The sequence below is a fragment of the Homo sapiens genome, chromosome 14, assembly GCF_000001405.40.
Source record: "Homo sapiens chromosome 14, GRCh38.p14 Primary Assembly".
In the NCBI taxonomy this organism is placed as follows: Eukaryota; Metazoa; Chordata; class Mammalia; order Primates; family Hominidae; genus Homo; species Homo sapiens.
Genome location: NC_000014.9, coordinates 55,573,125 through 55,597,081, shown reverse-complemented (window position 1 = coordinate 55,597,081; position 23,957 = coordinate 55,573,125). Strand labels below are relative to the sequence as shown.

Sequence of the window (23,957 nt, the reverse complement as noted above, 5' to 3'; positions counted from 1 at the left end):
CCTTTGGATTTTTTTTTTCAAAATAATCCTTCATATATACAGTATATACTAATCCTATTTGTGTTCACTGGTACTCTGAAACACAAAATCAAGGATGTTTTATCATGATATGGACTTCACCATAACGTTCTATTCTTGAAGCTGCAAAAAGAGTCTATGACAGAAAAAACATCAAAAAGTACAGATATAATTACCTTGAATTGGAAATAAGTGTAGCTTTGATATATTAACAAAGTTTAAGTCTACAGTGGCAAAAAAAACTTTGTCAAAAAAAAAAAAAGGTTCTATTCTTTTGACATCACTCGCAATAATAGGAAACCTAAGCAAAAAATTAGTGAGAGACCCGATCTTACTAAGAACCTTAGGGAGCTAACGCCAAGAAAAAGTAGTCCTTGTGATTTCACCAACTGAAAGTTGGTTTAAGTATGTCAATTATGTAATTAACATAATTAAAACACAGCACACCATGAACCTTCAAAATTTGTGATTGCAAAGACTGCCTTCCAGACAACAGAAATATGAGGTAAGAGGATGAAAGATGATCAGTTATCAGAACCTAAAATATAGCCACAAGTAGAGGCTCCTATCCTATGGTCATCCTTAGAATCCATGTTTACAACACAATCACCTCAACAGCCATGCAAAGACAGATGTTGCCTTCAACAGACACAGCTGCCATGATCCTACATTTCAAGTTCCATGAAAGGCTTCTGCTTTCCTCACTATTAGAAAATGCCTAAGAGTTAGGGGGAAAAAAGTAAAAGCTATTAAATATCATGTACTAAAAATAGAAAGTAGTCAAATTAAAATTGATGAATTTATTTTAGGTAAATCCAGACAATGTTACTAAAAAATATAGGCACATCAAAAGCCATCCACTATAAACCATTTATTTATTTTATTTTTACTTTTTTTTTTTTTTTTTTTGCTATTGAGTCTTGCTCTGTCGCCCATGCTGGAGTGCAGTGGCACGATCTCAGCTCACTGTAAGCTCCGCCTCCCAGGTTCACACCATTCTCCTGCTTCAGCCTCCTGAGTAGCTGGGACTACAGGCGCCTGCCACCACACCCAGCTAATTTTTTTGTATTTTTGGTAGAGACGGGGTTTCACCATGTTAGCCAGGATGGTCTTGATCTCCTGACCTCATGATCCGCCCACCTCGGCCTCCCAAAGTATTGGGATTACAGGCGTGAGCCACCGCGCCCAGCCGCCAAACCAGTCACTATTAAAAAAAATCACTCCGATACCTTTTTAAATAAAAGGGTTACTAAATCAGGAAAACCCAATACACATTATGGAATGTCTGATTTTGTCAGAACAGTCAATAAAGTAAACAAGCTATCCTTGGAGACAAGATTGATAAATCCTGAACATGGCTGAATACTGGCATAAATTGAAGAATATTTAAAAGGTTAAACAATAATATCCCAAAGTTGACAATTAATGGTTTAGAAAGTATCTTAACAATGTACCAAAAAACTAAGCCTGACCTTACTAACATTTTAATCAATTAAAGATAATCTTGCCAGTTTACAAATGTGTTGAATATGAGGATGAGAACAAAGGGCAAACCAATTAAAGGTTTCAGAACGTAAGATTTGTATTATCCTGTGTTACTCTGAGTTACCTGGTTAGAATAGCAGAAATTCTGACAACTAGTTCAGATAAGCTGGAACACCACATTACTAAGTCTACTACAGACTTAACCACATAATGAGCTGTTCATTTAACTGGTTTTCATCAAAATGGCTCTTGAAAATTACCACTTTTCAAGCAATGACCTTTTTTGGTATTAGTGACTGTTTACCTAAGCACACACAAAATATTCTATAGAGTGAAATTTCAACATTTATGATTTCAGACTCAATGTTTTATTCAACGTAATTATTTCCCATCAGCGTAAATCATATGGAACAGATCTATACTGTACATACAGTACACTGGATGAACCTAGATATGCTTCGTGTACATATGCAGAGCAAGAAAGTCAATGAGCTTCCAGCTCCTACAACTCCGTCTTTTCTGCATGTGTTCTATTTCCCGTGTTGTGAACAACTTGTGTTTGTTATTGCCCTAGTGGTGCTTTTCTGTGCAGACAACTTAAGTGCAGACTGAATGCAAGGTAACTCTGAACTCCAGAAAGCTTGAATTGGTGAAAAAACACAGTACAGAAGAAACAGACTTCCCAAAAAGTGACACTCTACCAACTACACTACCATCCACTATCAAATCTTCTTTCTCCTTTGGCAAATACAATTAGCCTTCATTATACTACATTATATTTTATGTATAAAGTGTATTTACTTTCAACTTGTTTATACCTACACAAATTTGTCTTCATTGTTAGATTAATATTTACCTACGTGTGAAAACTGTTTGGGATGAAATACCGCATCATAATTCCCTACTAAAATTAATGGAAATAGGCTTTCATTTAATAGCTTTTAAATTAGCAGCAGGGTTTTCAAGAATGAATTCAAAACATTGGATATTTGATTTTCAAGTTGGAGACAACAAGCAAAAATATTTCACACAACAATGGATACCAGTCCAAACTCAAAAATGAAAAAAAAAAAAAAAAAACTCTACTCTGCTTGAGTGGGAACAGCAACTCCAAAACAGAACGAAGAAACACAGGATGAGTGAGATCAAGCAGCAAAAGCAAGAATCACATTTCAATGCTTAAAGAGTCTAACTAATTATTATATAATCATAAATTAGTGTGATGCTAATATCAGATGTGTTCTGTAGAGCTGAATAATATTCAACAAGATTAAAAGATTTGTGCAAAGGAAGGGAACAGATCACTGAACTAGAGCACTCAGGATACACTGTGAATACTACTCAGGATACATAAGCTGGGATTCAAAAAACAAGTAAGCCTAAGATAGGTAGAAATGAAGATAACGACTTCCAATAAGGATCCTCCTCCAAATACTTAGTAATAGTGTGAAATATTACTTTTGCACCAACCTTTTGCACGAATATAAAAGGAAATTTAAAAGATATGGCTAAACTCAAAACTAAGATAAACATCGTACTGGGTGAGAAATGCAATAAAAATTCAAAACAGTAACCCATATCTTAAGTGCAGTAGAGGGAAGAAGGAACCAGGAAGATGGCTGGATAGTTCAGTTCCTAAAGGTAACAGCAACAAAACAGAACAAGGTTCATCGCCTGACACCAAGGGGTCAAGATTTGCACAGCTTGTAAAAAGAGAGGTTTCAAAAAAATAAAAAGGTAAAAAAAGAGAGGGGAGGAGAGGGGAGAAAAACAATGACACTGCAAATCCAGAGCTATAACTTTACAGAAGCTCCAAGCCTGGAGAAAAAAAAAAGACAACAAAACATCCAATGTCATAGCAAATTAAAAATTAGTAATTCCTTAATGCAAAGCTAGTGTTCGTTCACGTTCCCCAAGTGCTTTGCAAGTATTTTGTTATTCCTTGACTGGTATATTTCTTGTCTCCTTTCACGTACTATACCTATCTCTTTATTTTTCAGTTTCTTACAATTCTTAGAACTTTTAGTTGGGAAGGGAAAAAAAACCAAGCAGCTAGTCCTAGCGCGTTTCCCAGTGTGAATTTTGTTGATAGTACCCTCACAGTGTTTAACAAGTTTTCTTTTTTTTTTTTTGGGGGGGGGGTGTCTATTTCTGATCAATTAGTAAATTCAAAAATAAGATTAAATTTCAGAGTTTTGATTTGAATGCAAGAGTTGTCAAAATAATGAGTCTGTCCAACATTAAAACCAGTTTTTTTAATCCAAAACATAGCAAGAAATTTAATGAGAAAAAACAATCATATAAAAACACGAATTCACACCAGATGTTTTATGAAATGGTCTGACAAAGATTTTTAAATTTGAACATGTTAAAGAAGGAGATAGAGGTTTTCTAAGTAGCAAAAGGGTTGCCAAACAAAGAGAATTGAAACAGGTGATTATGAAAAAGCAATTCCAAATTTAAAATATGAAAATTATAGATACTGGCATATAGACTCAACAGATACAATACACTCTAGACAAAATAGAAAAATAAAATGGTAAATTGCTAGACAGTAATGAATTCACCTAGTATGAAGCACAGAAAAGAGAAAAAAATGATAGAACAATTAAAAACACGGGATAAACTTAGCCTCCAAGACAGGTCTAGCAAAAGAGAAAAGTGAAAATAAAAGAAGCAATATTTAAAGAGGTGAGAATTTTTCAAAATTAAAGATTTGATTCCTCATACTGTAAGTATACTCTAAGTACAAGCTGTATACATAGAAGTTTGTCCATACATATTCAAAATACCAAGCACAAAGATCTACTTCACAATATATGTGCAAAACAATTTAAGAAAACCACATGCAAACACTGGCATCACTGTGAAATATTTACAAAACACTTAGGATGTCAAATAGGGACTGGAGGAGGGACTTCAAAGTTTATTGAATAACTATCCAAAGTTTCTTTTTCAAAACACTCCTACATACAGTCATCCCTCAGTATGCGCCAAAAATTGGTTTAAGGACACACACAGGTACACCAAAATCTCCCATAGTCAAGTCCCATAGCCCATCTACTCAGGTTTCACCATCCTGCTCCATGTATAAGTGGACCCGTGCAGTTCAAACCCATGTTGTTCAAGGGTCAACTGCAATTATTTTCTTATGACTCTAAAAGTAAGTTGTAGATGCAATCCTCGAAACAACTCCATACTGTCAAAGTATTATTTCAAAGCATCTATAAATAAACACATTTTAGCCCTTAAAAACTGAAATGGTAAGCAGTGGAAATCTTGGAAAAAAGAAAACAGCATAAAGGGGAAGAAACAAAAATCAATTCCAGGGAAAGAACTGTGAGACAACATAAAACTTTTTAAGACAACATGCAAGAACATCTTCATAACCGTGAGGTAGAGAAGAATTTCTTAAACTAGACACAAAGTACAAATTATAAAAGGAAAACACTGATAAATTCAACTACATTAAAATTTTTAACTTTTAATAGAGACACCATAAGAAAGTCAGAAGACAAGCCACAAAGTAGGAAGACATTTATAACACATAATTGGCAAATAATTAGTATTCAGAACATATGAAGAAATCTTGCCACCCAAAAAGATAAACCCAACAGAAAAATGAACAGTCATTTCAGAGAAAAGGAAACTAGTGCCCAGCAAACTCTGAAAATATGTTTTCTCTCATTAATCAGAAATGCAAGGCCAGGTGCAGTGGCTCACGCCTGTAATCACAGCATTTTGGGTGGCCGAGGCGGGCGGATCACCTGAGGTCGGGAGTCCGAGACCAGCCTGAGCAACATGGAGAAACCCTATCTCTACTAAAAATACAAAATTAGCCAGGTGTGGTGGTGCATGCCTGTAATCCCAGCTGAGGCAGGAGAATCGCTTGAACCTGGGAGGCAGAGGTTGCAGTGAGCAGAGATCGCATCATTGCACTCCAGCCTGGGCGACAAGAGCAAAATTCCGTCTCAAAAAAAAAAAAAAAAAAAAAAAAGAAAGAGAGAAAGAAAGAAATGCAAGACATACAATGTATCAATTCACACACAATAGGCTAACTGGTTTTTGCCATTATCATGTATAGGGAAGAATGTGGAGCCATCACACATATACACTGGTGACAGGAATAAACTGGCACATTTATATTGGAAAGAAAACAATTTACACTAACTAGTAAAGTTGAAAATGTCTTGTCTCCTACAATCCAGCAATTCTATTTCTAGCTAGTCATAAGCCCCAAAACTATCTACACTCTAGTCTCAACTCACTAGCGATTAGCATAAAACTTAGGTCTTGACTAGCGTTTTTAGTTTTAATGAAACAGAACAGCATGGAATAGTATACCTGATAATATACTGAGTCATAATTTAAAATGTGTTTCTTATTGTGAGTGGTAACAAAAAGTTTGAAAAAAAACACTATCCTAGAGACACAAGTGCAACAAATAGACCTATGCTATTCAAGGTGTTCATAGCAGCACTGTGTATACTAACAACAAAAATACCTAGAAACCCAATGTCCAACAGGAAACAGGTTGTAAAATATTCATACATGAAGTAGCCAAATGAGTTAGAGCTACATACAACATGGTGAAAGAATATCCTGGGCCGGGCATGGTGGCTCATGCCTGTAATCCCAGCACTTTGGGAGGCCAAGGCGGGTGGATCACAAGGTCAGGAGATCGAGACCAGCCTTGCCAACATGGTGAAACCCCGTCTCTACTAAAAATATAAAAATTAGCTGGACGTGGTGGTGCATGCCTGTAATCCCAGCTACTCAAGAGGCTGATGCAGGAAAATCGCTTGAACCTAGGAGGCAGCGGTTGCAGTCAGCCAAGATCGCGCCACTGCACTCCAGCCTGGGCAACAGAGCGAGACTCCATCTCAAAAAAAAAAAAAAGAATATCCTGATAACAAGGTTGAGGGGAAACAGGAAGTTACAAATAAACTCATACAGAAGGATTCCATTTAGAGTTCAAAAACCAACAAAACAACAAAATAGGGATACAACTAGATCTGGCAAAACTAAAAGAAAAGCAAAGGTAAGAAAGGTAGTGGTTAGAGTGTGGGAAGGGACATAAAGAAATAAAAAGGATTATGTTCTCAAACTGGGTATTAGATACAAGGCTGTTCATTATGTCTTTATATCTTACACGTACTCTTAAAATATTATCTCATACGTATTTTATTTTAAAAGAAAAAATTTAAAGCTGAGAGAAAGGTACACAGGTGTTCAGTACACAGATGTTCATTTTATATTTAATCTTTAAACTGTACATATACATTATACATTCTTATATGTCTGAATCATTTAATAGTGGTTTCAACTTTCAATAAAACAATAAAAAGACAAGTAGGAAGAGATAAATGTAAATCAAAACAAACAAGCAAACAGGCATAAGCTTCCCTGCTTCTTAACTTATACAATTACAATAAAAGCACTGAATAATTGTAGAAAGTTATTCCTACTTTGGAAGAAATTTTCCCCAAAAAGAAAAGTCCTTTAAAATAAGAAATCTATTAAAAATGTTTACAGAAAATATCTAGGTTTGTATGTGTGGTTTTTTTTGTTTTGTTTTGTTTTTACTTATTACAAAGCTACCTTAAGAAATCAGATAAATAAGGCTGGGTGCAGTGGCTCACACCTGTAATCCCAGCACTTTAGGAGGCTGAGGTGGGCAGATCACAAGGTCAAGAGATCGAGACCATCCTGGCCAACATGGTGAAACCCCGTTTCTACTAAAAATACAAAAATTAGCTGGGCGTGGTGATGCATGCCTGTAGTCCCAGCTACTCAAGAGGTTGAGGCAGGAGAATCACTTGAACCTGGGAGGCGGAGGTTGCAGTGAGCAGAGATCGTGCCACTGCACTCCAGCCTGGGCGACAGAGAGACACTCCATCTCAAAAAAAAAAAAAAAAAAAAGAAATCAGATGAATATAGTAACCAAGAATAATAATTAAAGAATCTCTGGCCCAGCATGGTGGCTCATGCCTGTAATCTCAGCACTTTGGGAGGCTAAGGCAGGTGGATCACTTGATTTCAGGAGTTCGAGACCAGCTTGGCCAACAAGATGAAACCCCATCTCTACTAAAAATACAAATATTAGCGAGATTTGGTGGCAGGTGCCTGTAATCCCAGCTACTCAGGAGGCAGTAGAATCGCTTGAGCCCAGGAGGCAGAGGTTGCAGTGAGTCAGAGGTTGCAGTGAGCCAAGATTGTACCACTGCACTCCAGCCTGGGTGACAGAGCGAGACGCCGTTTCAAAAAAAAGAATCTCTTTATACCAAAAGTAGTATGTTATTTTGAATGCTGCCAGGACTTTCTGCTTAAATGAAGGTTACATAACACTGAAAGGATATGAAATATAACTACCAATTTATGCCAGGTAATTAATCCTAAAAGAGCAGACAAAAATTCGGCTTTCATCACTTTACAACTAACTTATATTTATGAATTACTTCTTTTCTCCCCAAAACCTCAGACAAGGTAAATGCCTCGGCTGTATTTTATGTATAATTCCAAGGCTAATCTTGAATGTATAACTGACCTTTGAACACTATGGGTTTAAACTGTGTGGGTCCACTTCATGCAGATTTTTTTTTCGGTAACTATATTGGAAAATTTTTTGGAGACTGCAACAATATGAAAAAAACTCACAGGGAAACCACAGCCTAGAAATATTGAAAAAAATTAAGAAAAATGTCATGAATGCATAAAATATATGTAGATCCCAGTCTATTTCATAATTTACTACCATAAAATATACACAAATAATAAAGTTAAAATTTATCAAAACTTACACAAACCAGACCCTATATGGTTACTGTACATGGTGCCATTTGCAATAGATGGAAATGTAAACAAAGGTCAAGATACAGTACCAAATCACAACTGCATAAAATTAACTGCAGTACATACTGTACCACTGTAATAATTTTGTGGCCACCTCCTGTTGGTATTACTGTGAGCTCAAGTGTCTGAAGTATCCCTGACTCCTATCCATGACTCTAATTATCTCCACATGAGCATTCTGTCCTTCCAGTAACAGTATCACAGTAAAAAGTGATCATAGTTCTCGCATATTTTTCATCATTTTTAGCACAACACTGTAAACCCTGAATAACACCATGAGACCCATGCCAAGTGCCACTAGTAATGCTGGAAGTGCTCCCGAGAAGCAGAGAAAAGTCATGACAAGGAAAAGTTGAATTACTTGATATGTACTTAGACTGAGGTCTGCAGTTACAGTTGCTCACTGTTTCAGACAGATGATTCATCTTACAGATGATATAAACTTATGGTATCAATAAACAGTACAGTATTGTAAATACACAGTCTCTTATGATTTTCTTAGTAGCATTTTCTTTTCTTTAGCTTTATTATAAGAATACAGTATATAATACATATAACGTACAATATACATGTTAATTGACTATTTATGTAATTGGTAAGGTTTCCAGTCAAAAGTAGGGTACTAGTAGTTAAGTTTCTGGAGAGTCAAAAGTTATACAAACATTTCTGACTGTACAGGGTGCTAGTGCCCCTAATTCCCACATTGTCCAAAGGTCAGCTGTATTTTTTACTTGAAAAGTGCTCCAGAATTTTCAAGCTCAGAAATACTTCAAGTTAAAACTAAATCCAATTATTTAGACTAAAAGAAAAAAAAGAGTGAAAGAATTAAGCCACTTTTACAAAAGGATTCAATTTAAACTTAAAATTACAGCAAACATCTAGTCAAACTGGAAGCTATTTAAGAAATGATTCTCCAGCAATAGAGTACCAAGCACAAAGATTATCCAGCACAGCACCTGAAACTGTACCCAGAAATAAGAGCACTAAATACAAGCTTGAGGAATTCCCTTTACAGAAATCATGACATTCAGCCAACCTCAAGAGACCCAGATTATGAAAACTACGTAAAGTAATTACGGAAACATTTCAAATGAACATGACTTCCCAATAAAGTAGGCAAGTACAGGTTGGTGGCACGTAAGTGAATTCAACCTGTGTGGATATTACAGATTTAAGGCAACATCTTCAACGTTCTGCAACATAGCATTCAGAACACTAGGGAGTTTTCAGTGCACAGCTTAGCTTGTCCAAATTTATTTCAAAAGGTAATTAGATCTAAACACAAGCATTCACTAAATTATTTATGTACAGATTCCACTCAGAACACTTACATTACTGATGAACAAGATTAACTGGGACTAAGCACACCCATTTTGCTGAAATTCATGTTTCAAATTGTTTTCCATTCCACTCTCCCAAGAGTAAACCTAAAACCCTTATTCTTAGAGTTTCACTTTATATGGCATACCAAATACCACTCAGTTAGCCATGCTAATAAAGGATGGCAAGTAAAGCAAAAGACTCAATGAGTCCCAATCATTTTCAAGCATCAGACCATCCATTCATTCAAATTGAGCACTAGCTAGGTGTCAGACATATAGTTCACAGCGATGAACAAGACAGTCCCTGCCTCACATTATTTATATTCTTGTAGGTGAGGCAGATACCAAGAAAGAAATAAGCGTATTATAACATCAGGTTGTGACTGATAATGCAATGAATAAAAATAAGGCTGTGACAAAGAATAGGGAGGGTATGCATTTTTAGGTAGGGTCAGAGTTGGCGTTTTCGAGGTAACCATTAAGAAATGTCTATAAGATCACACAAGAGTAACTTATAATGAACATATGCAGGAAATGAAACAGAAAAGTTTCTTGGAAACAAAAGGACGACATTCTATCTACTGCTTTCCATATAACTAAAACATTTTATAGCATGTGGTTTAAGTAGCTTTTACTGTTTTCTCCACTTGAAAAACTTCAAGTCTTTAAATTTAAATCACTAGTTTTAAGAATTAATCTTCTAATTCCTATGGGGGGGAGGGGGATCCTTATAACCTTAATTTAGCTTTGTAATGCCTAACATTAGACAGCTGCACATGGACAGCGTTTTGTTTTCTTCAGAAAGCATTCTTATAAAACAGCTCAACGGGTAAGAATGGGCTCTAAGTCAGAATGCCTCAGTTAAAATTCAGGCTCCTCCTAAAGATATTTGTGTCTTTGAACAAATTATTTGTCTCCCTAGTTTTCACCAAATAGTACCTACCTCATAAGGTTGTTGAGAAGATTAAATATGATATGATATGATAATGCACCTAAAGCATTTAGAGTTTGACAGCAAATATGTACTCCAATGTTAGCTATCACTTATGAGGCAACTACTGAGGTAAGATAATTCCTTAATGAGCCTTAGGCAGGTTAATATAGGTTAAGATCACACATGCAGTAAGTGGTACTGACTAGCAAAACTAAATTCAAGCCCAAGGTCTTCAGGCTCCCTAGTGCCCAAGCTGTTTCCACTACCCCACAGAACATTATGTAATTAAAGAACTGGACAATAAAGAACTTGCATAAAACCTTAGAGTTAATAAGGTCTAAGACCTGTAGGTCTCCTAACTAGTGACTTCCAGCTTATTATACCAGACCAGATTGTTTCCTTAACAACTCAATGACTCATGCATAAGAATAATAATTGTCCCACATTTTCCAGCGAAAATGCAGTGTAACATCATGTCTCCTGATAGACAATGTACACTTACTTGAATTCACATAAGTTCTGAAAACTAATTGTAGATGTTACTCAGAGTCAAAATAAAGAAATAAGGGTAAATAACATTCTCTTCTAGTAATTATAGGCTGCTATGATCCTACGGCCCCTATGGAACCTATTCAAAGTGGAAGCTGTCTTACAGGATCTCTCACTGGATTAACTGACATTCTCCTCCTTTGTAAAAATACATGGGCTGGTGTCTTCAGAAAGCTGTTTCTGGCTAGCAATTACTCTCCTACTCACTTATTTCTATATATCTATCAAACATGAAAATAGAGTCAAAAGGTGTTATTTCTATAAAAATGACATTAAATCCTTTGGAAGGCCTTGATGAATAACTGGAAAAATCTATAAAGATTTTGTACTTGGAGAGTTTCCCAGTGCCTATCTTTTCATTCCACTTTAAAGAAACCAATACTAGAAATCATAGATAATGCTTTTAGAGTACAATCTATGAAAGGAAAATCAGGATAACCTTTATTTTAAGAAAAGAAATCAGTAAAAATAAAAAGGCAAATAAAAGTAAAATCAAATATTTTAAGTGAAAACATTTAAGGTGCACATATATTTTGATTCCTTGCTTTAACCAACTTTTTGAATTAACTAACAAATGGTCCTAATCATGTGGAGTATGTAAGAGGGTCTCCACCACACTCTAACATCATTCCTTCCACCAAGCAGCTCCCAAAGGCTCCATGCCACTTTCTTCCACTCTCTGACCATCCCTGAAAGAGGAAAGGAGCAAACTGAAAACTACATGTATCCAATAATGAGTTATCCATCAAAGGAAGGAATGTGAGATTTTTTTTTTTTTTTTTTTTTTTTTGAGACACAGTCTCACTCTGTCACCCAGGCTGGAGTGCAGTCGCACCATCTCAGCTCACTGCAACCTCCACCTCCCTGGCTCAAGCAATCCTCCCACCTCAGCCTCCCAAGAAGCCGGGACCACAGGCACACGCTACCATGCCTGGCTATTTTTATATTCTTTTTAAAGATGGGGTTTTGCCACGTTGCCCAGGCTGGTCCCAAACTGCTGGGCTCAAGCAATCCACACACCTTGGCCTCCCAAAGTGCTGGCATTACAGATGTGGGTCATCACACCCAGCCAGGATTTAATTATTGTGTTCAACAAATTCTTATTGAGGACCTGCTATGTGCTAGACACTGCTCTGAACTCTTAAAGAGTCATCAATAAAACAGACAAAAAGCCTACCCTCATAGAAGCTATGTAATACTGTGTTTGAGGGTTATGTGGAAGAGACAATAAACACAACCAGGAAATTATATAGTATGACAGAAGGTGACAAATGCTATAAAGAAAACGGAGCAAGGTACAAGAATCAGACGTAGGGGAGTGCAGTTTTAAATAAAATAGGCACATCTTTTTAAGAAACTGACATTTAAAAAGCAAAGACTGGACGGAGACAACAAGCCATGCATGTATCTACAGGGTAACAGCCAGTGTAAAAAACAGCTCTGTTTCCTCCATGGCACTTGTCACCTTCTTGCCAGGAGAAGTAAACAGTATATAATTTCCTCATTGATTGTGTTTATTATCTCTTCCCCTTGCCCTCAAACATACACTATTACACAACTTCTATCAGGGCAGAGCTTTTCGTCTGTTTTGTTTATTGATGGAGCCTAAGCGTTTAGGGCAGTGTCTGATATGTAGCTGCCCTTAGGAAAACCATTGGAGCCAGAGAGAAGTAAGCAGAGGGATGATAGTAGCTAACCTTAGAGGTAAGGGGGAATGAGGAGAGTGGAAGTGTCCAGATTCTGCATGGCCTTAAGGACATAAGAACTTCAGCTTTCACTGTGCATAGAGAAAGTCACTGTAGCATTCTGAGAAGATAAGTAATATGATCCAGTTGTTGTGTTGGAAAGACTGCAGGGAGTTAGGGCAGAGGCAGGGAGATCAGTTAGGAGGCTAATTGCAGAAATCTAGGTAAGAGATAAGAATGGCTTGCACCAGGCTGGTGAGCAGTGGAAGCAGTAAGTACTGATTGGATTCTGGTTATATTTTCAAGATAAGACAGAGCACAGAATGCCAAGTGTGAAAGAAATAAGTCAGGGATGACTCCAACGTTTTTTTACCTGAATGTTTGATGGAAACATCAAACATCAAACATGTTTGAGGAAAAATACGGAAATTTAGTTGGAGTTGACTACTGCACATCCAAGTGGATAGGCCTAACAGCACATGTGGAAAGTCTGGGTTGGAGATATAAATATGGGAGCCATCAGCATATAGGTATTTAAAACCATGACACTGGATAAGATTGTCAGAGGAATATAAAAAGAAAAGTGAAACAAGGACTGAGCATGTCAAGTTTAAGAGTAGAAGATGTAAGATAGAATGAACAAAGCAATTAGGAAGGAGAAAGCCCAAAAAGCAGAATGTCCTGGAAGAAGAGTGCAAACAAATTACATTTAGTGTACAAATCACTTTGCTGAAACCAGATTTAAGTTACGGAAGAGTTCTTAATCTCCCTGTAGTAGCTAGGACGATTCGTAAAATACTAAATCATAACTTTTTTTAGGGTATGTCTTCTACATTTCCGAGGAATATTATATTTCCTATCAGAGTATCTACTAAAACTATTGTTAGAATTAAAAGTATATCTTGCCTATTTTCTTTTACATAAAACCAATTAAAAGCTTGTACCATTTTTTAAAAAAGAAAAATAGCCTAGTTTTCACTGCCACCTCTGTCAAAAACACATTTAAGCACAACAGCTCGGCACACAGTTGTAAACTGTCATTATTTCTCTTTCTCTAGACCTCAGATACAGAAGGTTAAATTAAACCCCTTAGTTCACAGCACATAAGGTTCTTCCCCTTAATGTTTAATTTTCTATTTATAGAGGAGGGAAAAAGGCTTATATTCTCATCTAGACCAATATTTTCCCAGTGATTTGAAAATAAATTACATTTTTTGATTGGGACAAAGTCATGTTCACAGGAACTGAAAGAGGAAGCAATGAAATGCAATTCTCTTTGAGCATGAGTGATCACCAATGTCACTTCTAGAGAAATAGTTACTTGCTTGTATCCTCTAAGTATACTCTGGATTTACCTTCAAAGTCACTAAAAACAGTACAGAGAACAAGCAGGTCATAAGGTGTATTCTCAAATATATGAACGATCTTGCAAAGCACGATTTTTCTCATTTCCTTATTACATATTAGGTCAGATTCCCAAGAGAACCAAAACCTTCCTAGAACCACTTAAGTTCATTAACAATTTAATATTTTAACAAAGTATTGGAGATCTTTCAGGTTAAAACTTCATTTGCTATAAAAATTATAGGCATACAATTAAAAACACATGTTCCATTCAAGTTAAGAAATTAACTTACACATAGGAAATGTATAAGACACATTCAACTTTTAAAAAAACAATTATGATTCAGTATTCTACGTGTCATCTTAACCATGACAGGCTGATTAAGAACTTTTAACCATAACTTAACATTCAAGTTAAGAACTTAAGAACAGTGACAATCTTAATATGGGTTCTTTAGAAGTCTCAAAAAGGTTTTCACGTCTTAGGCTCTTTTAAAAAGCCATATTGACTGATATTAAAAATATAATTATTAAAACGATCTCCCTACCAAAAGCAGATTAAAGCCTATAAACTAGAAGGGAGACTGAAGTGAGGCATTTTTAGGGACAAACACAACATCAAACAGAAGAGACTACTGGTATTAAAAGAATACAGAAAGATCTAAATTGGAAACAAAATCGTAAATGTCTCTTCATAATGCTGACGCTGAATCATTAAGAGTTAAATACTTGATATTCTTTATAATTTTCAAGTATTAAGAAAATTTTTCAATAGATCTTGTTATATTTTCAAATTCATTATCAGCCTCAAGTAAATCAAGTAGAACACCTTATTCTCTAAGCTCACTTGATAAGGTATTGTTATGTCTGATGAAGGCTACAAAATTAGAAGAGACATTTGAAACTCAATGTTGGGGTGGGAGGGAAACTCATGAACAGACCCAGCTATTTCAGGTTAGATCCTTAAACTAAAAAAAAAGGAAAAAGGAAAAAAAAAAAGAGCCTTTTTTATCAGGCAGCACATCAAATATGAAAGTCTACTGCAAGGCATGTCTACCCAAAATACTCAAGAGTAATTTAGTGTTATTCTTGGGATCATTATCCCAAGTCTCACCAGCTTGGGATCATTATCCCAAGTCTCACCAGCAATTGCTTCGGACCAAACTGGAGACACTGTTGCCATTAGCCTGCTAGGTAAGCTAAGGAAAACAAATGCAACCTAATTTAGCAAAAATTCTAACTTTAAGTCAACTCCTATACAATTCAGAACCTTTAGTTCACCGAAGATGCTTATCTTTAGCTGGGCTGGCCATGAGTGTCTACATTTCTCAAGGCTTTCCACAAAGTCATCACACACACACACACCTTAACAGTTAACTTCAACCGTAGCTCTTTACTCAAGGCTTTCCACAAAGTCATCACACACACACACTCACACACACACACACACCTTAACAGTTAACTTCAACCGTAGCTCTTTAAGCACTACTAACTTAAATAGCGGCTAAGGAATCCGTTTGCCAACACAGTTCTGAATTTAGATTCCTCCTTCCTCCCACAGGAAAGAAGGGCCAACACTGAACAGCTTACTTTCAACCTAACCTAGTCAAGGTGCAACTGGGGCCGGCTGGGACGCCGCTGCCCGCGTCCGGGGCTGCCCACATCTAGTGCACCCAGCGCCTTCACCGCCAGCATGCGGGGCTGCACATCCCACACCAGACGTATGGCTGAGAGCCAGACGACTTCTCTAGACTTCCCGCGTAGTTTTCCGGCGAGGTCCCCAAGGCCAAAAATCTCACTTTTGGAAACTGAAGGGGTCAGGCCGAATCGCTAGGACACACCCCTCGGGGACAGGAAGGGATAACTTCGCCGGTGTCGAGAGTGGTCCATGGATTTTTCCAAAGTCCCCCCTCATGCTGCTTTCCGTGCCCAACCGCCTCCCGCCCTGACCTGGGGACTCGCAAAGGGCAGCGGGAGGGGCGCCGGGGAAGGGGGCGAGCGCCCAGACCGCCGGAGGCAGCGGCGAGGACTGGAACTCCAGCATGGCGTAAGTGTGGCCCAGCTCCGGCCCGGGGACGCCGCCGGAGACGCGCTGCCTCCGTCCACCGGCCGAGGAGGCGGTAATCCGCCTTCCCTCCCGGGGGCCCTCAGGCTTGGCTAAAAATAGGTGCCTCGGTCACCCCAGGGCCCGCTCGGGTCGACCTCGCCTTCGGGAGAGTCGTCCTTGGGGAGGGTGGGGGGTGTCCCTCGGCCGCGCCCCGGGTGCCGCGACAGAGCCGGGGTCGGGCCCAGAGCGGCCCCGCGAGGCCGAGGAGGTCCCTCCGAGCCCGCCCCCTGCGGCGTCCCGGCCCCAACAAGAGCCCCGCGGCGGCAACCGGATGCCCGAGGCCTACCCAGCGGGCGGCGTCCGGGCCCCGCGGCCGCGCCCCCCCGCCCGGCGCGGCCCTCCCGCCTGCCCCAGGACCCCGCGGCCGGCGCCGCCTCCCCCCGCGCTCCCCGCCGCCGGCGCCCGTCCCGGTGCGGCCTGCTCTCCCTCACCCTGTGCGGCCGGGAAAGGAGACCGGGAAGACGCGGCGGCGCCGGCACTACAGCCCGGGCCGCCCGCTCCGAGGCGCCGCCGCCGCCGCCGCCGCCGCCGCAGTCGCTCAGGTGCCGTCGCGCCGCTCGGCAGGAAACGGGCGGCTTCGGGGCGGGGCGGGGCGGACCCGGCACGTCCTGGCGTCTGGGCCGGCGGCGCCGGGAGACCGGCCCCTTAAAGGGACAGCCGCCGGCCCGCCTCTGCCTCCGCGCGCCTGCCCACGCGCTCCGGTACTCGCTGCTCGCGGCTGGCCGGCTCGGGATTCCGGGCTTTCTTCCCGAGACCGCGTCCCCCAGCTGGGCCGAAGGTGGACGCTCAGGGGCTGGAGGCTCAGCGGAATCCCCTGCGTTCAGTAGCCCCGCTCTCCCCTGTCCCGAAGGTTGGTCTCGTCTCGCGCGGCCCTCCCTCCAGGGCACCACCTGGCTCCCCACGCCTTTTAACTTCAGCAAACGGCACTAGATTTACCCCCTGACTATCCCAGATTTCCCCCAGAAATTACTGGAAAACGACATCCCCCGTCCCTTTCTCCAGGGGATCTCTCTGAAATCTCCTTCGGGCAACGCTAGCTACAAACGGAGAAAGAAATTAGAAAGCGACCCAAATAATGGTCGGGCGCGGTGGTTCACGCCTGTAACCCCAGTACTTTGGGAGGCCAAGGCAGGCGGATCACCTGAGGTCAGGAGTTCGAGACCAGCCTGGCCAACATATAGTAAAACCCGTCTCTGCCAAAAAAAGTACAAAAAATTAGCTGGGCATAGTGGCGCACGCCTGTAGCCCCAGCTACTTGGGAAGCTGAGACAGGAGAATCGCAGGAATCTAGGAGGCGGAGGTTGCAGTGAGCCGAGATCTCGCCACTGCACTCCAGCCTGGGCGAGAGAGTAAGACTCTCCGTTTCTCTCAAAAAAAAAAAAAAAAAAAGGAAAGAAAAGAAAGCGACCCAAATGAGTTGTGTGCAAACATTATGAAAGTGTTGTGACTGCCAGCTGGTAGCCATTTATGAAGCCGGGGTAAAAATCTAGAAACTGCTGCGCGAGGAGGGATGGGCCCGGATCTCTCCTTATTCGTTTGCTCTTTGCTGAAAGGATGGCAGCGATCCTCCCCGTCCACTGGCAAGTGAGTTTCGTGTGGATTGTTTACCGATGATCAATCTCTCACAGGAGGCCAGGCACTGCCCCACTACATGTACAAAACACTCCAAGCTGTCCGCAAATGTTATGAAGGCTTAAAATAATCCTAACGATTCCAGACTGTGGATAGAGATAGAAAAAATTAGGACTCACCACCACCACCTCGCCCTACATCTGACAAAGTGGGAACAGAAGCAGTTAAGGAATGAACAGCAGAACCGTTTCTACACCAACAGAATTTCCTGTACATGGGCTGGTTAAAAGTATCCATACTTTTTATTCTAATCATTTCTAAGTTTTCTAGAGCACCTCCAAAATACAAATGAAAACTGCGCAGTGTATAGTGGCCTGAGATATTGAGAATTCTGCCAGTCTTCAGTCACCGTGTTCTCCACAGATGCATTGTCTTATTTTAACTCCAGAGGCGTCCTCTTTTTTCTTTCTCATTAGGATTACTCTGCCCCTCAGCGGTTCCAGTGCCCTCAAAGCAATCTGTCTCTGAAGTACTGGCTATCTTCTGAGCGTGTGCCAGAAGATCCAGCTTTGTTGAAAAGCGAAGCCGTTAGTCCCTTAATACAAAGGGTAAGTGTATCATTTATGTAATGGAGTTTAAGGGCTCTTGATTAGCTTACAAACAACCATGTTATTTCCTCAGGTTAGTACTAACGCAGGTTTTAGGTTAGAATTAAAAATTTATATCATTCATTTTCCTGACCAGTAAAACCGCAATGTCATTTACAGGCAATAATATTTCGGTGCACTTGTAAGTAAGACAATGAGTGGAGTTTAGGATTTTCTCAAAACATACTACTGCTTATACTAAAGGATGACTTTGTATCACCTATTTCGGCTTTTCTGGCGTTTGAACTTTGACTATAGAAAGGGAAGTGGTTGAATGCTTTATTTTTTATAAGCTTTCTATTTATTCACATCAAAACAAAAAGATTTACTAGAGGCCGGGCGCAGTGGCTGACACCTGTAATCCCAGCACTTTGGGAGGCCGAGCTGGGTGGATCACCTGAGGTCGGGAGTTCGAGACCACCATGGCCAACATGGTGAAACCCCAGCTCTACTAAAAATACAAAACTTAGCTGGGCATGGTGGCAGGTGCCTATAATCCCAGCTACTGGGGAGGCTGAGCAGGAGGATCGCTTGAACCCAGGAGGCAGAGGTTGCAGTGAGCCAAGATGGTGCCACTGCACTCCAGCCTGGGCAACAGAGCAAGACTCTGTCTTAAAAAAAAAAAAGATTCACTAGAAATGCTATGCTTCTCTAGTGTTATGCATAATAGGCAAGCCCTATTATGAATTAACACCAACCCTCTAGGTTTTAAAGTGTAGTATAATATAATTAGCTATAGTTAACACATATAATTAACCTACGATATAATTAACTTTGGCTGCTATTTACTACCCTCCAGTGTCACTGAAACCAACAACTAACTTGTTAAAAAGGATTAGCAACACACCCAGCATCTGAGGTACCTCTAGTTGCAACAACTAAGAAATTAAATTTTATTGAAAACTATAAAGTCTAAACACTGTTACCTAAAGAGCACACATCCTATTTTTTTTTAATTTAACAAAATTGCAATTTACTGAAGACTGTCTTCTGAATTTTTTGCGTGTAACAACTCTTTTTTCTGAGTTTGGGGAAAGTTTTAAAGACAAATAATACATGCCTGCCCTGCAGATGGAGAACAAGCTGGCTATTCCTGTTTTGACTAGGGTAGTTTTCCCATAAGTGGTGACTTGTGTAGAGATTTGAGTAATGCGTGAGTAACAGATTATATCTCTTGACTCCACAAGATCAGGGATAGCAGAAATGAAAGTATAATGGAAGCAGCTGGAGGATTCCAGGTCCACTTTCACCCAAGTAATGGAGACGGAAGGTTCATCGAAACTTCTTCAGCTGCAGATCTAGAAGTCATTAGCTATTCTAGCAAAGTATCTGTCACAGAAAGGTGCTTCATAAAGGTCTGCACTGTGCTCTTTTGACCTGTGTCTTCAAGCATGTGCTGTCATAACAGATTAAAGATGACTGAAAATTATCTGCCACTCATTGCGTGAAAGGTGGGATCTGTAGACCTCCCTCTTGAATTTGGGAGGGTTCTGTGACTGCTGTGACCAATGAATATGGCAGAAGTGACGCTTTGCCAACTTCTGGGTCCAGGCTATACGAGACAGGCAGTTCCACTCACTGTCTCTTAGATCCATGTAAAAAGTTCATCTACCCTGCTGGAAAAACCATGTAGAGAGGCCCTGAGACTACATTGGGTGGGAGAGGGGCTCAGCTGCACCATCTTCCAACTGTCCCCATCAAGATGACAGAAATATAAATGAAGCCTTCTTGAACTCCAGACCATCCATGCTACAAGCTAAATGCCACCAAGCGACCCCAGTTAATACCATGTGGAGCAAAAATATCACTTAACCAAGCACTGCCTGAGTTTCTGACCCCACAGAATTCTGACCCCATACAAATAAAATAATTTTTGTAATTTTTTATAATTCGTCATGTAATAGATAAATGGAACAGCCTTCTTCCAGTCTTTTAAATAGCTGCAAGAAATCTTATTCAAGCAGAAGGAAGTTTCTACTTTGTTCATACAGTCTCAAGACATCCCTGGAGCCTTTCAAGGGAAATTTGGGCAGAAGTAGGTAGAGAGGTAAAGCTATTATGTAACATTACTTAACATGATTAAAACCACCTTAATGTCTCCCATCCTCAAAGGCTGCCAGTGAATTGGAAATTAATGGATTAAATGAGGACAGAGAAACTAGTATTTGTGCATATGCACTGTGCCAGGTATTTAACGTATCTTAGCTCATGTGGTCTTCGAAACAACCCCATATTGTAGTATCAGGCTCACACGGGTAACTAACTAGTGCAAAGACACAAGGCTCACAAACTGCTACTTGACCCTAGAGCTCTTTGACTCCGATTCCCATGTACGTGCCCCAATACCATGTTGACTCCCAAGGTGTAAATCTTCAGGTATACAAACTATTAAAATGTGAATTTTCATTTATACGCAATTTTTGCTTATGATATGTTTTTTGTCACTTGCATAATAATAGATATGTAACTTTAAATCAGCAATATTATACTGGCTATCAACCAGTTTCATGTAAATTTTTCTAACAGAAAGAATGTAGCATTGAAATGTGTACATTTTTGTCCAAGTACACCTGGCAATTGAAAGAAAAAATCCAAGCCACTTGGATGCTTGATTTTGTGATTTTTTTTTATACACTTCCTTATAAGAATTTTTTTTAGGTATTGAATTTGCAACTACAAAACCTGATTTTCCTCCCGGTTCTGTCCCTTTCTAGTAATGAGACATTGGACAAGTCACTTCACTTCCCAGAGCTTTAGTTTCCTCACTAGTTAGTGGAGGCCAAGAGTTAGCTCTAAGAGTGTGAGAATTATTAATAAATGAGATAATGTATTTTAAAATATTTTTAAACTACAAAATAGCATATAACTATATAACAGAGTAACCACCTCATAGGGTCTAAATATAAATAGGCATTATTTAACCTATAATGTATCTGAATAATAATAACCACCCTAGTAGCTACTTTTCATATACTATATATAATTGCCAATTATAACAACCTCATGGGATGTAATTATGCTCACTTTACAGATGAGAAAGCAGGCTTAGGAAAGGAAATAATTCACAGCAAAGAAGTGTGCAAAAGGAGGAAAAAATAGAAAGAATGAATAAAATAACTTGCCTAAGGTCAAATGGCTACTAAGTGGCAGAGCTGGGACTGAAACTCTAAAGTTCAAGCTCCTTCCTCTCTACCAAACTATTCCCTACATGCCAACAGGCTAGTTTACAACCTGCTTGAACAGCAGGAGAAAAGGGAGATTTGATCTCTTTCTTCTCACTTTTAGCCCAAACCACTCTTAGCCTCACCACATAGGTGGGAATCCTTTTTTGCAGGGGCGGAAGGACAATGTCTCACTCCTGATGCCCAGGCTGGAGTGCAGTGGCGCAATGTCAGCTCACTGCAGCCTTGACCTCTGGGGCTCAAGCAGTCTACCTACGTCAGCCCCCTCAAATAGCTGGGACTACAGGCACACGCCACCACACTAGGCTAAATTTTTTATTTTTTGTAGAGACAGGGTTTCGCCATTTTGCCCAGGGTGGTCTCGAACTCCTGGGCTCAAGTGATCTGTTCGCCTCAACCTCCCAATGGGCTGGGATTACAGGCGCGAGCCACAGTTCCCAACCTTTATTTTTAAAAGCTTTACATATAATTCAACACCCTTTCTCAGCAGCTACTTACCCAGTGTTTAAAGGTTTAATGTTCTTCACAGTTATGTAATTCTTCTATCACTCTGAACTCAATCTTAGAACCTTTTTTTTTCTTTTTGAGACGGAGTTTTGCTCTCGTTGCCCAGGCTGGAATGCAGTGGCGCAATCTCGGCTCACCGCAACCTCTGCCTCCCGGGTTCAAACGATTCTCCTGCCTCAGCCTCCCGAGTAGCTGGGATTACAGGCGCCTGCCACTGCACGCGGCTAATTTTTTGTATTTTTAGTAGAGACGGGGTTTCACCATGCTAGCCAGGCTGGTCTTCAACTCCTGACCTCAAGTGATCCACCCTCCTCGGTTTCTCAAACTGCTGGGATTACAGGCGTGAGCCACCGCACCTGGCTTCAATCTTATAAACGTTTTAAATTGCATGTTCATTGTGAAAAAAATAAAAAGAAGTTTTGAAAAATCACCTATAGTTTTATATCTAGAGATAACCCTAACATTTTTATTTCTTTTTAAATACCAGCATACTTTTATTGTAATTGTTTTAGTAAATACTAAATGAAGTAACACATGCAAAACTTTTAAATAATATCCTGGGTTGTTGTTTTTTTTAACATCTATTTCTTTCTGACTTTAAAATTAACAAATAAATTTGGGAAGACTATTATATATTTTAAAAGACCAAAGAGACGGATCAAAGAAACATGGTAAGTTACCCTTGATTGGATCCTCATACAAAAAACAAAGTTATAAAAGATGTTTTTGGTACAAATGGGAGGTATTTGAATATGGACTGAATATTGAATATTAGAGGACTTGTTAATTTTATTGGGAATGATTATATATGTGCTTATACTACAGAATTATGTACAATATCCTTGTGTTTCAGAAACACCCATTTAAGTACTTAGGAGTAAATTAATGATGTCTAACTTACTTTCATTTCAAATGATTTAGTAAATATATATATAGATAACATGGAAAAATGTCAACAGTTGTTCGGTCTAAGTGGTAGGTGTGCAGGTGTACATTGCACTGTTTTTCAACATTTCTGCATGCTTCCCAATTTTCACAATAAAATACTGAGGGAAAAATCCAAAAGAAAACTATGGCTATTGAGGCCAGGCGCAGTGGCTCACGTCTGTTACCCCAGCAGTTTGGGAGGCTGAGAAGGGCGGATCACGAGATCAGGAGGTCGAGACCATCCTGACTAACAACTCGGTGAAACCCCGTCTCTACTAAAGATACAAAAAATTAGCCGGGCGCGGTGGCGGGCGCCCGTGGTTCCAGCTACTCGGGAGGCTGAGGCAGGAGAATGGTGTGAACCCGGGAGGCGGAGCTTGCAGTGAGCTGAGATGGCGCCACTGCACTCCAGCCTGGGTGACAGAGCCAGACTCCGTCTCAAAAAAAAAAAGAAAAGAAAAGAAAACTATGGCTGTTGTAGAAAATTTGCAGAAAAAAAAATGTAAAAGCAAAACCCAGTGGTTTGCAACCTTTCCTTGTATCTTTTGTGATGGTCACTTTTTTTGTAAATACTTTAAAGTGTTTATTAAAAATCAGCCTTGCAGTCTTTATCCTCTAATCTAATTACCCATGCATCTTATGCTGCTAGTGCTCTCCTCCTCTCTGGGGGGTTGGGGTGTGGTTGGGGAAGTCTCTGGAAGATTTTCCATGGCTCTCTTTAATAATGAATGCTACACTTTTGCTAGTAAGATCCCTAAAGAATGCTCCCAGTAATGGAAGGTTACTTTGTAGTTCTTTAGTCCTCACTTGACAAGTTTTATTTGCT

At 39.8% G+C, this 23,957-nt stretch overlaps 1 protein-coding gene and 1 long non-coding RNA gene across 44 annotated transcripts in view, besides 5 other annotated features; one reads left to right on the top strand and one right to left on the bottom strand.

Moving 5' to 3' along the window:
* The window catches only part of KTN1 (kinectin 1), a 104,378-nt gene extending 87,503 nt beyond the window's left edge, over window positions 1-16,875 (bottom strand). For 41 of the 43 annotated variants that reach the window (NR_073128.1, NR_073129.2, NR_175289.1 and 38 more), the window contains exon 1: window positions 16,728-16,875. The gene's annotated coding sequence lies outside the window, so the exon portion shown is untranslated. Of the gene's footprint in view, window positions 1-15,988 lie in introns of all 43 variants that reach the window. The other 2 variants (NM_001402686.1, NM_001402693.1) reach the window with 1 other exon arrangement.
* Window positions 15,557-15,851: a silencer, noted in NCBI's record as "tiled region #13870; K562 Repressive non-DNase unmatched - State 1:Tss". NCBI's record gives its function as "represses a minimal TATA promoter and a strong SV40 promoter by Sharpr-MPRA in K562 cells {active_cell/tissue: K562}" and the evidence as "EXISTENCE:reporter gene assay evidence [ECO:0000049][PMID:27701403]".
* Window positions 16,031-16,670: a silencer, noted in NCBI's record as "silent region_5786". NCBI's record gives its function as "represses an Ori minimal core promoter by ATAC-STARR-seq in GM12878 lymphoblastoid cells {active_cell/tissue: GM12878}" and the evidence as "EXISTENCE:reporter gene assay evidence [ECO:0000049][PMID:35858748]".
* Window positions 16,731-16,990: a silencer, noted in NCBI's record as "silent region_5785". NCBI's record gives its function as "represses an Ori minimal core promoter by ATAC-STARR-seq in GM12878 lymphoblastoid cells {active_cell/tissue: GM12878}" and the evidence as "EXISTENCE:reporter gene assay evidence [ECO:0000049][PMID:35858748]".
* KTN1-AS1 (KTN1 antisense RNA 1) lies at window positions 16,990-20,925 on the top strand. The gene is made up of 3 exons (NR_027123.1): window positions 16,990-17,146; window positions 18,345-18,476; window positions 19,703-20,925. It is a non-coding gene; the product is annotated as a KTN1 antisense RNA 1 (long non-coding RNA).
* Window positions 17,431-17,520: an enhancer, noted in NCBI's record as "active region_8435". NCBI's record gives its function as "activates an Ori minimal core promoter by ATAC-STARR-seq in GM12878 lymphoblastoid cells {active_cell/tissue: GM12878}" and the evidence as "EXISTENCE:reporter gene assay evidence [ECO:0000049][PMID:35858748]".
* Window positions 17,531-17,650: an enhancer, noted in NCBI's record as "active region_8434". NCBI's record gives its function as "activates an Ori minimal core promoter by ATAC-STARR-seq in GM12878 lymphoblastoid cells {active_cell/tissue: GM12878}" and the evidence as "EXISTENCE:reporter gene assay evidence [ECO:0000049][PMID:35858748]".
* Window positions 20,926-23,957: the final 3,032 nt, after the last annotated feature.